The 17,732-nt window shown below is 37.5% G+C and overlaps 1 protein-coding gene across 4 annotated transcripts in view; it reads left to right on the plus strand.

Annotated features, from left to right (window-relative positions):
- The window catches only part of NLK (nemo like kinase), a 163,398-nt gene that overhangs the window by 26,526 nt on the left and 119,140 nt on the right, over positions 1–17,732 (plus strand). The gene's annotated exons all lie outside the window — the stretch shown is intronic.

Raw genomic sequence — 17,732 nt, forward strand, 5'->3', positions numbered from 1 at the left:
TCACTCTACATAATGTTTTTGCAATTCATCTATGTTGCTTGCACATATCAGTGTTTTTTTCTCTTTATTACTGAATCATATGTCAGTGTATGAATATAGCACAGTTTGTTTATCCATCCTTCTGTTCCTTCCAGTTTTAGACTATTCTTACATAAGTCTTTTTATGGATATAAGTTTTTATTTCTCTAAGGATAAATATCTAGGGATGGAATTGCTGGGTTGTAGAGTACATATATATTTAACTTTATTAAGATTGCCAAAGCAGTTTTCCAAAGTGGCTTTACCAGTTTGTACTACTACCAGCAAAGATGAGAGTTCTAACCCACTTGCAAATCCTTGCAAAATTTGATGGTCTTTGAATGTAGCCATTTTAGTGGGTGTGAAGTAGTATCTCATTTTAGTTTTAATTTGCATTACCATGATGGCTAATGATGTTTGCCACATTTTCATGTATTTATTGGCTGTTGGCATGTCTTTTTTTTTCCTGAAAATTCTGTTGAAGTTTTCCACCCATTTAAATGATTGGTTTGTCATTATTATTATTATACTGTAGGAGTCTTATTTCTTTTTCTGAATACCAGCCTTTTGACAGATCAATCTATTGTATTTTCTCCTACTCTGTAACTTACCTTTTCATTTTGTAAATGATGTCTTTTGATGAACAGAAAATTCTATTTTGAGAAGTTAAGTTTATCAACTTTTTCTTTTATTATTAGTACATTTTTTGGTTCAGTATAAGAAATCTTTGTCTAGCTGGGCATGGTGTTTCGTGCCTGTAATCCTAGCATTCTGGGAGGCCGAGGCAGGCAGATCACCTGAGGTCAGGAGTTCGAGATCAGCCTGGCCAACATGGTGAAACCCTGTCTCTACTAAAATTAGAAAAATTAGTGAGGCATAGTGGCCTATGCCTGTAATCCCAGCTACTCAGGAGGCTGAGGCATGAGAATCATTTGAATCCAGGAGGCGGAGGTTGCAGTGAGCCAAGATCGCACCACCGCGCTCCAGCCTGGGCAACAGAGCAAGACTGTGTCTCAAAAAAAAAGAAGAAATCTTTGTCTAGTGCCAAGGTCATGAAACTATTCTCTTTTATTTTTTCTGGAAGTTTTAAGGTTTTAATTTTTATGTTTAGGTAAGTTTTCCATCTGAAATTAATTTTTTTTTTTTTTTTTTTGAGACGGAATCTCGCCCTGTTGCCAGGCTGGAGTGCAGTGGTGCGATCTCGGCTCACTGCAGCCTCCACCTTCCAGGTTCAAGGATTCTCCTACCTCAGCCTCCTGAGGAGCTGGGACTACAGGCACACACCACCATGCCCAGCTAATTTTTATATTTTTAGTAGAGACGGGTTTCACCATGTTGGCCAGGATGGTCTTGATCTCTTGACCTTGTGATCCTCCCACCTCGGCCTCCCAAAGTGCTGGGATTACAGGCATGAGCCACCGTGCCCAGCCTGAAATTAATTTTTGTATATGGACTAAGATAAGGGTTTGAGGCATTTTTGTTGTTTTGTTTTTTAAAATACTAATTTTAAAGTAAAATATTAATTTTAAAGTAAAATACTAATTTTAAAGTAAAACACTATTCTAAAATACTAATTTTACCTATTCTCACAACATCCTTCTTTAAGAAGATTTTTTCACCCTTATTGAATAGCCTTGCTCCACTGTGGAAAATCAATTGACTATATAAATATAGTGAAATTCTAAGCTTTTCTGTTTCATTAGTCTTTTGGTCTAGTCTTATGTTAATGCCACACTGTCTTTATATACTGTAGCTTTAGAGCAGGATTTTTCCATCTCAGCACTATTGACATTTTGGGCCTGATAGTTCTTTGCTGTGGGAGGGTCTCCTATGTATTATAGGATGTTCAGCATCATCCCTTGCCTCCACCACTAAATGCTAGTAGCCACTCAGTAGGTGTGATAATCAAAAAATGTCTACAGACAGTACCAAATGTCCCCTAGGGAACAAAGTCACCCTCAGTTGAGAAACACTATTTTAAAGTAACTCTTGAAGTCAGATAGCGTAAGTCTTCCAACTTACTTGTTTTAATTCAAGATTATTTTGGCTACTCTAGAAGCTTTGTGTTTTCATATCATTACAGAATTAGCTTGTCAGTTTCTTTAAAAATCTGTTGGGATATTTATTGGAAGATGTCAACTCTGTAGATCAAATAGAAGAGAATTTTTAAGAAAGTTGAGTGTTCCATTCCATGAACATGGTATAGCTCTCCACTTTTTTTTTTTTTTTTTTAACAGCCTTTGTCAACCACTCTGATCTCCATTTATTATAGTCTTTAATTTCTCTTGGCAGTGTTTGGGAGCTTGCATTTTAGAGGCCTTGCACATGTTTAGTTTATCACTAAGTATTTAATATTTTTCGATGCCATTGGAAATGGTATTTTTATTTTCAGTTTCACTGTCCAATGTCATTGACTAGTTGTAGGCACTCCTGTCCTGCCTTCAACCTTACATTCACTTAAGGCACCATGTTACTTGAGGGCGATCCCTCTCAGCAATCCTGCTGTATCCTACGTGAAGGCTTCATCAGAAAGAATTGGCAGAACAGGTCTGGAGAGCCTCAGGTTTTAATTAATTAAGTCAAATATCTTCAGCCAATGAAAGGTTGCTAAAAGATTATTTTGGTTTCTCTTGCCCTGCTTTCAGCATGCAGTTTACTCTTCTTTCCACTGTGACCCAGGGATGAAAAGGGCTTGGAGTGTTTTCTCTCTTAGCAAGGGCTTCTCTTTCTCTGGAGTTTAGTTCATTTACGTTCTTTGAGTTCTCAGCTTTCTTGTATACAACCACCCAACTAACCAACCAACCACCCAACAAAAAGTATGATTTCATTGCTTATCTAACCTTTTCTCCTTGTTATGCAAAGTGTCATATTTCTGTGTTCTAACTGGAAGTGGTTAACCAGTTTTCTTTGTTCTGTGTTTTGGTAGATGTTTTAACTTCTTTTTTATTTTTTTATTTTCAGCATTTCTGTTCTTATATTTTATATGTCTCTGATATACAGCATACATTTAAATTCAGCTTTTTAATCTAGTCTGACAATCTTTTAAGGGAAACACTTAATTCATTTCCATCAATTGTGCTTACTGATCTTCTTTCTTCTTCTTTTTCTTTTTTTTTTTTTTTTGAGACAGGGTTTTGCTTGGTCACCCAGGCTGGAGTGCAGATGTGCGGTTACGGCTCACTGCAGCCTCCACCTGCTGTGCTCAAGCAATCCTCCAACTTCAGCCTCCCAAGGGGCTGGGACCACAGTCACATGCCACCACGCCCAACTAATTTTTAAAAACTTTTTGTAGAGACAGGGTCTCACTGTGTTGCCCAGGCTGGTCTCAGACTGCCGAGATGAGTGCGCTGATCTTTTTAAATTTGTCCCTACCACCTTATTTATATATTTCTTATGTTCTGCTTTTCATATTTTTCTCTTTATTTGCCTTCTTTTGAATTGCTTGAGATTTTCCACCCCTTATTTGTAAGTTTCATACCTTATTTTGTTCTTTCAGTTGCCCTTGAAATTTTAGTATGCATGTTTAAATTCCATGGGTAATAAATATTGTTTATTTTCGAATCTGCCTGGTCCGTTTTAATAGTCTCCTATTCTGTCATACTTGTTCCCCCTTTTATATTTTTTCAAATACATTAAAAATATTTTATGTTTGCATCTGATAATACTCTTATCTGCTGTCTTTGTTGGTCTAATACATTGGCTCTTACTTGTAGGTGCTTGTTTCTTTGGTGATTTTGTAAAATTGTGAGCCCATGACATTAGAACTTTATTTTTTGTGATTTTTTTGAAGCAGGGTATTAGATTTTTTTTTTTCCAGAGATGATGTGAGTATCTAGTAGTACCACCTACTTTTAAGTAAATTTTTGACTTGAGTTTTTCAGGCCACACCACTAGTTTGAATTTTAGTCACAAAGGGTGCAGACTTACTAAGAATTCACAGTGGAGACATATTTCTGTTTTACTCTTCTACCAAGAACCAAAGCCAATAAAGACCCTTATTCTCATTATCGCCCTCTGCAGAATGAGCTTTTACCTATTTCACTTACTAAGGATGCAGACTTTTGGGAGGCTTCTAGCATATTTGTAAAGGTATAGTTAATCCAGTCTCCTGGGAAGGGCCCCAGGTGGCCTCCTGTCATCTCAGCAAGTAGCCCATTAAAACCTAGGCTTTTGTCCACCGAGGATTGGCCAGTAACTCCAGGGAAAACTGTCTATAATGTTACTCACCTTTGTGAATGTATATTTCTTTCTTGTTTCTGCTCTCCAGGAATTTCTTTGCTTCCCTCTCAAGGTTAACCATGTATTTTATCCAGCATCTTTAGATGCTTTTCCATCTAATTTACTTTTATTCTATACTCATATCTTTAGGAATTACCTCTAGCTCTTTTTGAAATGTGGCAAGGGGAAAAATAAAGTCCATAATCGGTCCTGTCTCCCAGTTTAGAATGTCTTTTCCTATTTCAACTGTGATAAATTCATCCTCCTCTTCACTCACTTCAGATGTTCTTCTCTTTAGGTATTCTCCCCATCTGGCTCAACTCCTACCCCTATATATACCCCCGGTAGAATGAATTACTCTTTTACGTTTGTTTCTATACTTCTTTATATATATATCTTTCTTAAAGGAGAGGTATCCCTGTAGACACAAAGATAGAGACTGAATTCTATTTATTTCTATGTTCCTAGCATGTAATATGCATTCACTAAAGTTTGTTGAATTGAGTTTTCAAAGTCTTTATAACCAACTCTTGAAATTTTAAGCTTCTAGCTAGGACTGTTATAACTTAATTTGCTAGTTTTAGAAAATAACTTTTAAAGCAATTAAAGCTTATTCAACACGTTGAAGATAAAATAATTTTATTTGGTATTTGGTAAATTCCTTGGGCTAGTCCTATTTAAGGATGGATTAAAATATGATAGAAGTGTTATCTTACAATCTCCAGATGGGCTGGGGTGATGTAATTTTGGAGCAAATGAACATTCACATCCCAATTCTAAATCTGAGCTCATTTTAAAATTATACACTTGCGGGATGATCTGTGCCACAAACCATGACACACATTTGCCTATGTAACAAACCTGCACATCCTGCACATGTACCCCTGAACTTAAAAGTTGGAGAAAAAAATTACGCACTTTGTATCTGTAACATCAAGGGGAATTTTTGCCTTTGGGTTACTATTTTTAAAAAATTTTTTTAAATGGATACAGTGATAGATTTTAGAGCATAACAGTTACAAATGGAGAGGTTTCCTAAATGACCTTGATTACTTTGTGTGTGTTGGGGTAGGGGGTTGAGGAGGTTGTTTTTCTCCTGTTGCCTGAATTTAAATGTTTTTTCTATGGTGAATTACATAATTATTTCGTGGCCATTATATATTTGTCCTGCAGTTTTTTATTATTTTTTTACGAAAAGAGATCTAAGGGCCTTTAGGTGTCCATTGGCAAAGCTGATTTTATAAATATGTGTTTCTTTTGCCTAGCATCTTTTCACATATTTGAAGATATATAGATGGGAAAAGAGCAGTAGGATGAAAAAGGGAGGTGAGAAGAATTCTTCGTAGAGAGCAAAAACAGGTGAGGAAAGCAACTAGTGTAGCGGTTGGGATGACTTAACAATAGAGGGAAGGCACAGGTCAGAGAAGAAGGCAAGAGGAGGTGCCAACACCCGAGGTTGGGAGGTGGACACCAAGCTGGCTCATGATGAAACAAGCTGGCGTATTTCACTTGTAAATGTTTTTATAATATGCACTTTTCATTTTAACATCTCCAAAATTAGGATGTTTCTTACAATTGTTTGCTTTTTATTTTTGTTAGTACATAAAATAATGGCACATTTACCATTAGTGGCATTTTACAGTTAATGAAATATGGTATAATTTTACATTGCTCACAAGGAGTATTGGCTGTGTTAGCCTGCTAGTTTACATTATGTGATCTGGCAGACAAATCAGTTTTTAAAAACATTCAGAAACAGACTCAGCATTCAGGTGATTTGGACAACTGATTGATGTTATTCCAAAAGAAACCTCTCTCTAAGGTGATTCGTGTGAAACTAGCAACTTCTTTTTGTAAAAGGTCTGCCACTGGATAGGCTGTGTTTGCAGTTGCCACAAATTCTGAATCAAAGGCAAGTAATCATTAGGTGGAAATCAAAGTAACCTTTCTCTACCCCTGTGATTTGAGGGGCTATTTCCCTGAAGCATGTGCAAATTATTTGTTAGGCAAGAACAACTTGTATGGCAACTTCTTAGCATTGCTTAGACAACATCTCTGTACAGTTTGTGCCTCAGGTTCATCTCTGTTTTGTATTCTTGAGTCTCTTTGGAATTTTGACACAGCAATTGAGCTCTCAGACTTACTTATTTTACAAAATTGGGCATTTGAGTAAAAAGTGCCTCAACTTAAAAACTGTTCTTAAGTTTTCTTCTTTTGCTTTGGCTACTATAAAGCCCAGAGTCAAATGTGCACCCTCCTCAGTTAAGGGATGTAGAGTTTCTTAGCTTATGTTTTGGGTACAGACCACTTTCTCGGTCCCTTCACCCCCACTTCATAAGCTTCCTACCCATTTTTTCCCCCTTCCTCAAACCCTTATTCCTCCTCTTCCCGCACCCTTTAATCTTACACTGTATGCTTCTGTCTTAGCTACCTCCCGTCTGTTTTGGAATGGGGTGGGATATAGATAAAAGCTAAAAACGTCAACAGATAAAATCTATCTTTAAAAAACATTTACCCATACAGTGAAAAAAGCACATTGAAATGGTGAAGTGAAAAGCCCAGTTTTGTTGTCCTTTTTTTGTATATGTCTTAAATGAGGTGAGTTGTTTTGAGGAAAGGCGAATTTTGCTTTGCCAACATTTGTGATGGCTTTAGTGTGTTGGAGCTAAAAAGGATTGTGAGCTCTTTCAAGTTACTTCTAATTTAGAGACACTAGATTTTTAAAGAAAAGGATAATTAAAAATTTGGATAACTTTAAAAGATGGAGTTACTGTCAAAATACCAAAGACTAGGTAGCTTATAAACAACAAAAGTTTATTTCTCACAATTCTGGAGACTAGGAAGTCCAAGATCAAAGCTTCTGCAGATTTGGTGGCTGGTGAGGGCCCATTTCCTGGTTCATAGATGATACATTCTCAATGTGTTCTCATCTGATGGAAAGCAGAAGGCAGGTCTTTGGGGCCTCTTTTATAAACGGCACTAATCCCATTCATGAGGGCTTCACCTTCATGATATAATCACCTCTCCCAAGGTCCCACTTCCTAATACCATCATATTGGTGATTAGGATTTCAACATACAAATTTTCAGGGGACTCACACATTCAGTCCAAAGCAGTTCCTGTTGATTAGCTGAAATAATGTGACAGAGCTGTACTGTTTTCCAACAGAAAAGGTACTTTTAACTTTTCTGTTAGAAATTTTGATATTTTTCCTGAGACTGGAGAAGGTAAAAGAGTATCCCCATTTTTGTGCATCTGTGTATTAAATTGGTATGTGAATAAAAGAGGACCTATGGTTTATAAAACAGTGAAAAACAAAGAAGTGGAGTAGAGAGGGTTAGTATCATTGGTTCATGCAGTTTTTTAAACATCTGTCCTAATCTAACCAAATTAAGTGCAATGTAGTAATTGGACTTTTGTATTACCATATTTTGCCTCTCTTCCTATTTCTTCTGCCTCTGAAGTAACATTGCAGCTTGTAAGATTGACAATTATATTCAGTCTGATATAAGTAAAATTTGCTAATTTAATGCTGTGTGTCATGCCATGGTTTTTTTAAATTGATGTTTTCTTTAGTTAGTACCCGTGTCCCTTTTACTTTTTCCCTTTCTTTGCTTTGTACTTCTCTTTCTTTCTTTTTTTTTTTTTTTTTTTTTTTTTGGCTTTGTACTTCTCTTTCTTAGACAAGGTACAAACCTCCTTTCCCTGCCTTCTTTCCTTCCCTTGTTTGCCACCTGTATTAGTCCGTTTTCACATTGCTGATAAAGACGTGCTTGAGACTGGGAAGAAAAAGAGGTTTAATTGGACTTGCAGTTCCATGTGGCTTGGAAGGCCTCAGAATCATGGTGGGAGGCGAAAGGCACCTCTTAACATGGTGGCGGCAAGAGAAAATGAGGAAGATAAAAAAGCAGAATCCCCTGATAAAACCATCAGATCTCATGAGACTTATTCACTACCACGAGAACAGTATGGGGGAAACTGCCCTCATGATTCAAATTACCTCCCACCGGGTCCCTCCCACAACATGTAGGAATTATGGGAGTAGAATTCAAGATGAGATTTGGGTGGGGACACAGCCAAACCATATCACCAGCCCTGGAGGATAAAAGTCATTCCTGAGAATTAATTGTCTTGGAATACTTAAATTATAAACAATTTCTAAGGCTATTAGGCATCTGATACTATCAGTTAATGCAAAACATTAATCTGGAGATAAAATTAGGCATCTTGATCAGTTTGATGCCGAGAATGCCATTATATTAAACTTTGCATTAATATGGAGGGAATTAATAAGAAAATGTTTGGAAACTTTAGCTTCTTTTGCCAGTGGTGTGTTATAATTCTTTCATACTGGAAATAATAAACTAACTATAGATTTTCATGTTTTTATAGTATTAACCTTATTTTAAATTCCTATCATAGGTCTCTCTCATAAGTTTCGAAGAAAGAGTAATTCTTTTTAACAAATATATAGATGCACAGAAAGTTCTGCTTCTTTCTCAAGCATGTTATAGTTATAGGAAAATATGAAACAATTCTTAAGAGGTTGTTCTTCCTTAAGGTATGCATTTGTTATTTCACCAATAAAAAGAATTCATAAAAAAAAAAGTGCTATCGATTGAAGCTTATAAATGCCTCTACTCATTCAATCAGCTAAAATTATGAAATGGTATACTGCTTTAATCCAGAAAGTACTGTACATTATTTTTTTCTCCCAGAAAACATATGTGATTATTTTCTGTAATGGCAGCTGAATGGGGGTTTAGATCATTGCATATCCAGTAGGAGGAAATTAAAATTTAATTATCAGAAGGTTTCCTGAAATAACATGCCTTTTTTCAAGCATTGAAGTAAAAATGACTATAAACCTCTTTTGATTATATGATAAATTAGATCTTTTACCATTAAAAAAAATTAACAGATTTTATTTTTTAAGTCAGTTTTAGGTTTACAGCAAAATTTGGGAAGTACGGAGTTCCTGCCTATCTCCCCTGTGCCACACACACAGTCTTCCTCTTGGTAGCAATATTGAACCTGGCCCAGGAAATTGTTGAAGACTTTGTCGGGGGTCATTCCATCTGTGGCACCAGTAAATTCTGTCATTGTTATCTCTTTCTGCCAGGATTACTACACGTGTTCTCATTGTAGTTAGTCACCTTATAGCCAGTTTCACCCACTTTCCATTTTACTTTGTGTTCATTTTCAGCCTTATTGGAAGATTAAATAAGATGATACATGTAGTGTGCCTAGTACAGTGCCAGACTCAGAGTAGTCAGTTTGGTTTATAGCACTCTCTCTGTAAACTACATGGTTTATAAACCATGGTTTATAGCACCCATTCTCTCAATTGTGAATAAAGTTCATCTGTAGTCCTAGCAAGGCATTAAAGGACCCTTAAAAAAAAGACCTTAGCCTCCCTTCTCAGATTTATTGTACTCTTATGGATTCTTTTTATTGTTAAAATAAAATTGACCATTGTAACCATTTAAAAATGTACAGTATAGTTGTGTTAACTATATGCACATTGTTGTGCAACAGATCTCTAGAACTTTTTCATCTTGCAAAACTGAAACTACCCATTGAATAACAACTTCCCATCCTCCCTATCAGCTCCTGGAAACCACAGTCTACTCTCTATTTATATTCATTTGACTACTTTAGATACCTAAATAAGTGGAATCATGCAGTATTTGTCTTTTTGTGACTAGAATATTTCACTTAGCATGACATGCTCAATGTTCATCTATGATGTAGCATATGACAGGATTTCCTTTTTTAAGGCTGAATAATATTTTGTTGTATGTATATACCGTATTTTCTTTATTTATCCATTGATAGACAGATGTTTCCATCTCTTGGCTTTTGTGAATCTTGCTGTAATGAACAGATATGCAAATATCTCTTTGAGATCCTGGCTTCAATTCTTTTGGATATATGTCAATAAGTAGGGTTGCTGAATTATATGGTAATCCTATTTTTAAGTTTTTGAAGAGCCTTCATACTGTTTTCCATAGCAACTGGACCATTTATATTCGCACCAGCAGTATACATGGGTTCCATTATTTTCACATTTTTGCCAGCACATGTTATTTTATTGTATTCTATTTTTGATAGTGGCCATCCTAGCAATACCTCATTGTGGTTTTCATTTGCATTTTCCTGATGATTAGTGAGGTTGAGCATCTTTTCATATGCTTGTTGGCCATTTGTGTATCTTCTCTTTTGCCCATTTTTAAAATCAGGTTATTTTGTTGTTGTTGAGTTGTCAGAGTTCCTTGTATATTCTAGGAAGTAAACATATATGATTTGCAAATATTTTTTCCCATTCTATAGGTTGCCTTATCACTCTGTTGATTGTTTCCTTTGCTGGGCAAAAGTTTTTGAGTCCTGTTCATCTGTTTTTGCTTTTGTTGTCTGTGCTTTTGGTATCATATCCAAGAAATAATTGCCAAATCCAATATCATGAAGCTTTTCCCCAATATTTTCTTCTAGGAACTTTATTGTTTCAGGTCTTATGTTTAGATCGTTAATCCATTTTGAGTTGATTTTTGTATGTGATATAAGCTAAGGATCCAACTTCATTCTTTTCCATGTGGCTATCTAGTTTCCCCAATATTATTATTAACCTGCAGGTCAGCGACTTCAGATCTACAAACTGCTGAAATTATGTGCAGTATTTTGTGCATGTTTGTGTGTGTGTATGTGTCTGTCATTTTTAAAGAAGAGCTTCCAGTCAGGCACCGTCGCTCATGTCTGTAATCCTGGCACTTTGGGAGGCCAAGGCAGGAAGATTGCTTGAGCCCAGGAGTTTGCGACCAGCCTTGGCAACATAGTGAGACCCTATCTCTACAAAAAATTAGGCCAGGCATAGTGGCTCATGCCTGTAATTCCAGCACTTTGGGAGGTTGAAACAGGAAGATTGCTTGAGCCCAGGAGTTCAAGACCAGCCTGGCAACATAGTGAGAACCCCATCTCTACCAAAAAAAAGAAAGATCATTAACTTTCATCAGATTCTGAAAGTGATTCCCAACCCTTACCCCCAAAGACTAGGACTATGACAATCTGAAACAGGTAATTACTTAAATTTACTGTAATGCCTGGCTAGGGGAAATTGTGGTTATTATTGGTACAGAGCACGCTTATGAATGAAGGGTAAGTTCATGCTGCTCATGAAGTGAGAAACAGGATGGGACCAATATCGCGTGTAGCATTTGGAGGCATTGGAGCATTTGGAGTTTGTTTGCAGTTTCTCATGGACAGGGTTAGCAGATCAGCTTAGTGCATAATCATGTCAAATATTTTGAAAATTTGTTGAAAACAGAAGACCAAACATCCAAAATGTTAGAACTAGCTGCTTCTAAAAGATTTATTCGGTGTAAGTTAATGTTTTTAATTGTGTGCCTTTTGTTCAAGGAGCTTAGTTCCTTGAAGTAATCAGTTTAGCTTTCAGATCTGATTGTGTTTTTTTTGAGACAGGGTGTTGCTCTGTCACCCAGGCTGGAGTGCAGTGGCCCATTCATGGCTCACTGCAGCATCAACCTCCTGGGCTCAATCGATCCACCCACTTCAGCCTCCTGAGCAGCTGAGACTACAGGCACATGCCACCACACCTGGCTTTTTTTTTTTTCTTTTGTAAGGACAGAGTTTCACCATGTTGCATAGGGTGGTCTTGAACTCCTGGGCTCAAGTGATCTACCTGCCTCAGGCTCCCAAAGTGCTCAGATTAGAGGCATGGGCCACCATGCCAGGCCTAGACCTGGTTTGTTTTTGTTGTTTTTGAGACAGGGTCTCACTTTGTTGCTTAGGCTGGAGTGCAGCGGCGTGCGTGATCACAGCTCACTTCAGCCTTGACCTTCCAGGCTCAAGTCTCCTGAGTAACTGGGACTACAGGTGTATGCCACATGCCCAGCTAATTTAAAAAAAAAAAATTTAATTTTTTTTAGAGATAGGGTCTCACTGTGTTGCCCAGACTCACTTTTTAATGAATAGGCGATAATGGTTGTATGTTTTTGGTAGGTGTTAGTAATTATAATACAACATTAAATAAATATTAGAAATGACAGTGTGTTCCATCTCCTGCCACCACTCTTTAGGAAAAAAAATAACAAATACAAATAAAAAGAACTGGAAGAAAGTCTCTTTCATTGTGGGGCAAGATTGACTAAAAGCTGACCTTTGAGCTTTATTACCTGAAGCCTCTGTTGTTAACCCTTCACATGGGCCAATGACGTGTACACTGGGGTAACAAAGGAAATCAGGTTTTGTGTTCGTTTTAATGTTACCTGTTACCAGGTTTGCATTTGATATTGACATCTCCAAGCAAATTCCCTGTCCCTAAGAAAATCAACCTGCAGGAGCATGTGTTAGGAATGCTTTTATACCCCTCATCACTGAACACTTGTCAGTTGCCCAAAGGGACACTTCTCCTCTCTGAAATTCATGGATTTTGTTTTGTTTTGTTTTGTTTCCTTTTGAGATAGAGTCTCTCTCTGCCACCCAGGCCAGAGTGCAGTGGAGCGATCTCGGATCACTGTAACCTCTACCTCCCAGGTTCAAGTGATTCTCTTGCCTCATCCTCCCGAGTAGCTCGGATTACAGGGGCCTACCATTATGTCTGGCTAATTTTTTTATTTTTAGTAGAGATGGGGTTTTGCTATGTTGGCCATGCTGGCCATGCTAGTCTCGAACTCCTGACCTCACATGATCCACCCTCCTCGGCCTCCCAAAGTGCTGGGATTACAGGCATGAGCCACTGCGCCCGGCCTGAAATTCACGTTGTTTTTTAAGTAACTCCTTAAATAGAAATGTTCCATCTGCAACTTATTAAGATTGGCTTCTTCTGACAGACCTGGCCAAAGAAAACAGCTTTCTGGGTAATCTTGTGTTTCAAAAACATTATTAGCTGTTAAAAGGGGGGAAAAGGGAGGGATGTGTGTGCTAGCATAACATAAAACTTTCATTTGAGTTACCTGAATTATAAGGAAATACTTTGGCAAAATGCATCTTTATATGTCCCAGCAGCCTGAATGTGAGTTTCTGCTAATATGTTCATCCCCTTTTTATCAGTTCCCTTTGTCTGAAATTGGGGTGCCTCCCTGCCCTTGTGAATAGGAAGCTGGGAAAAAGAGTAGGTGGGGTTAAAAGGGAAGCACAGTCCCCTGTGTTTCCCGCAGATTTTCTTATTGCAGGATCAGTTTGGATTGTGAGCTGAAACTGAAGAGCAGAATTTAATGTTGACCTCTAAAGTTGATGCCCAAAAGGGTTTGTCTTCACTAAAGCCTGTCTTTTTGAATTGAGTAGAGTGCTTTTGGCTGTAAAAGCTTTGAAATGTAAACACTGAGGAAATAACATGTTTGTAATGTCTACGTAATATAACATATGCAGGTGCACATCTTAGAATTTTCTCACTTATCCTAAAAGATACCTAAATAGAAATTTAGGAGGAAATTTTTAGCCTTAAGAATTGGCTATACTATGTAGTCTAATGCCAAGGTTTCCACTGTGGCCCTTCCTAAAAAGTATTTTGGTTGGTCATAAAAACTGTATGCAGAGGACTGTCTATTTGGAATAATAGTCACATGGTTTAGAAATAAGTAGAGTTTAAATTTACCTTTTCCCACACTGTTCTTATGATACCATTCCTTCTGCTGCTTGACATGTGGAAATCAGCTTGTGCATTTGTTTTCAGTTATGAGCACCTGTGAAGCAGCTTGATCTGTAGAATCTAATTTTATTTGTTTAATTATTAGATGAAAAATTCTGGGTATCAGGATGGGTGTCTGTCCCTTTTGTATCTGTGACAGTGCCTAACATAGCACCTTGTAGGTGATTGATAAATATTTGTTGAATGAATAAACATGTATCATCCTTCTTTGAAAAATACATGAATTTGTGGAGACTTTGATTACTTTTTAACCAAGTATGTTTTTGGAACAGAGAAGAGTATTATTTACATTATACTGATAAGATGTTGCTGTTATATCACATTCAGAAAGGCAAAGCTTCCTGTACTAGATTACATAGATTTAAAATATAGTGTCTGAGCCTTTGTAGTGAATGCTACCCAGGAGTTTATATCAGATGTCTAAGTTCCCAGCCCAGAACTCCTAAACCCAAGTCACAGCAGATAGAGACATCCATTTTTAAAAAGTTCTAACAGTAACTCTAATGGATTGAGGGTACATTTTATGATTTTTGTTGTTGTTGTTGGTTTATATGTTTGTTTTTAGTGTCAAAGAAACCATTCTTTGACATGGATTTATAAATATTTGACATTTTGAACATAAGTCTTGTGAACATTGTTTTAAATCTCTGGCCATTCAATAGATGCTGCTTTATTTTTCTTTCAGAGGTGGGATTTTCGTAGTCCCAGCTAACCATGAAAATTCTTTGTATGACCCTTAAATAATATATAGGTATGAAGACACTATACAGAAGTAGCCACAGAGGAGTGGTTTAAGTTATGTTGAGTAGTCCTCAAAATCTCACCCCACTCCCACTAGATAGCAGACTTCCATGAGAACTGCTTGTGCCTACCACAAAACAATTATGAAAGGAATGAGCCATATCATGATACAGCTGTGAGGGCTGTGTGGAAGACCCATTAGCCCAGTATTCAAGAAGACTAAGGCCCACTTGAGTTAAGTATAGTGGGTTTAACGCTGGACTCAGAGGTAGCAACCTAGCTTGCCTCCTAAATTCTGCATTTAATAGTTGCGTGACTATGAACACCTTCTTTTAACTACCTATGAGTATTGTTTCCTCATCTGCAAAGTGAAAGTAAAAGACCCTACGTTACATGGTTATTGTAAAGATTAAATGAGATAGCCTTTGGTGTAAAATGGTTTAACACATGGTAGGTAGTCAAAAAATGTTGCAGCACATACTTATTGATAACCTTCACTGGTTTATTAAGATGAAATAGGTTTCTTGAGTTAGGAAATACTGTTTTGTTAAGTGTCTAACTCAAAGTCTGAAAGCTAGTGAGTGATAGAATCAGGAACAGAAAGAACCCAGCCTCCTAAGTGCCAATCCAAAAAGAGGTGGTAATAGGAGTAAGTCTTCCAGGCTTCTGAATTGCCTGGGCTGTGACTTGTCAACGGGGCTGTACATTCTGTCCCACTACCTTTTCTTTTTTTTTTTCGAGATGGAGTCTTGCTCTGTCACCCAGGCTGGAGTGCGGTGGCGCAATCTCGGCTCACTGCAACCTCCACCTCCCAGGTTCAAGTGATTCTCCTGCCTCAGCCTCCCGAGTAGCTGAGATTTCAGGCACCTGCCACCATGCCCGGCTAATTTTTGTATTTTTAGTAGAGATGGGGTTTCACCACGTTGGCCAGGCTGGTCTTGAACTCCTAACCTCATGATCTGCCCGCTTTGGCCTTCCAAAGTGCTGGGATTACAGGCGTGAGCCACCGCACCCAGCCCCTGTCCCTACCTTTTCTATTTTTTGCAGTATTGTTCCATGCTGCGCAAAAGTTTGTGAAAAAACACAAATCAGTACATCAAGGTTCAGTATATGACTAATCTAATTTTAGCCATTAGAATCAGCTGTACAGTGTAGTCTAATGCCAAGGTTTCTATTGTGGCCCTTCCTAAAAAGTGTTTTGGTTGGTCATAAAAACTGTATGTAGAGGACTGTTTATTTGAAATAATAGTCACATGGTTTAGAAATAAGCAGATGGAACAGTCTATCTTTATTTCAAGTGCCCAAGATTTGTGATTCATCAGGTTAGGTAAAAATTATCACGTTTTATGCCTTTTGTCTCCCCACCCCAGCCCCTGGTGACACTATTCTGTTAGCACATGGAGTGAATAAAGTTTACATCAACCAGCAGAAAGGAAGTTTCCATTATCATCCCCCAACCCAGAGCATTTTTTGGAGCATTCTTCACAAATAAGTAATTAAATTTAAACTTAAACAAGCGAAGAAAGTACATACAGTCATGCACTGCATAATGATGTTTCAGTCAATGACGGACCACATACACAATAGTGATCCGTTAAAATTATAAGAGCTGAAGGCTGGGCATGGTGGCTCACGCTTGTAATCCCAGCACTTTGGGAGGCCGAGGTGGGTGCATCACTTGAGGCCAAGAGTTCAAGACAAGCCTGGCCAACGTGGTGAAACCCCATCTCTACTAAAAATACAAAAAGTAGCCAGGCGTAGTGGTGCGCAGCTGTAATCCCAGCTACTCGGAAAGGCTGAGACAGGAGAACCGCTTGAACCCAGGAGGCAGAGGCTGCAGTGAGCCAAGATGGTGCCACTGCACTCCAGCCTGGATGACAGAGCAAGACCCAGTCTCAAGAAAAAAAAGAAAAAAGTAGAGCTGAAAGATTCCTATTGCCCAGAGACATAGCCATCATAAAGTCATAGTGCAACACCATTACATTTTGGCTGTTTAGATCTGTTAGATACACAAATTTGTCACAGTAACATGCTGTACAGGTTTGTGGCCTAGGAGCAATAGGCTATACCGTATAGCCTAGGTGTGTAGTAGGCTATACCATCTAGGTTTGTGTAAGTACACTCTATGACATCTATGACATCATATGACAAAAATCACCTAATGACGCATTTCTCAGAACATATCCCTGTTGTTAAGTGACACATGATGACTGAAATTGCCACATTTTTCCCCCAAACCAGTAATACTTTTAAAAGGTAACTATAGTTTTTTTAAATCATGTATGTGTGTTTTAATAAATAAGACATTTACATAATTCAGAATTCAAAAGATACGAAAGGATTTACAAGTTTTTTGTTTCATCTATCTCCCAGTTACCAACTGTCACCCAGTTACCCCTCTCAGAGGCAAAGAAAAACAGGTTACTAGTTTCCTTTTAATGATCCTTGCTGGAAATCACATAACAATTCCTTTTATGTTCCATGGGCTAGAATTGAATAATATGGGCATAATAGCTGCAGAAGAAAAGGAAAATACTGTCTTTTAGTTGAATGCATTGCTACTTTGAAAAAAACTGAAGTTCTGTTTCTGAGGAAGCGTGAGAGAACATGCTACTAGATGGCATCTAGAAGTCTTTGCCTAAGATTAAGAGCTGATGTATACTCACCAATGATGTATGAAAATACAGTTTTATAGTATTATTGTTTTGTTATTTTTTAGCAAACCTACATAACTGAATTTTTATAAAGATTTTGTTTTTTGCCTTAACTTTATTTTTTAAAATATTTTTAAATTTTTTTTCAAGATCTCATGAGGTTGCATTTCCTTCACTTTAATATCTAACTCCAGCATAAGTCAGTATAAGTGACTCTGTGATGAGTCACATCTCATTTAAAATTGAGAGTTAAGGCTGAGAGTGGTGGCTCACGCCTATAATCCCAGCACTTTGAGAGGCAGTAGGATCACTTGAGACTAGAATTTCGAGACCAGCCTGGGCAACAAAACGAGACCTCATCTCTTAAAAAAAAATATATACATATATATATATTTTATATTTTAGCTGGTTGTGGTGGCGTGCACCTGTAGTCCCAG

Source organism: Homo sapiens, chromosome 17 (assembly GCF_000001405.40).
Source record: "Homo sapiens chromosome 17, GRCh38.p14 Primary Assembly".
Taxonomy (NCBI): domain Eukaryota; kingdom Metazoa; phylum Chordata; class Mammalia; order Primates; family Hominidae; genus Homo; species Homo sapiens.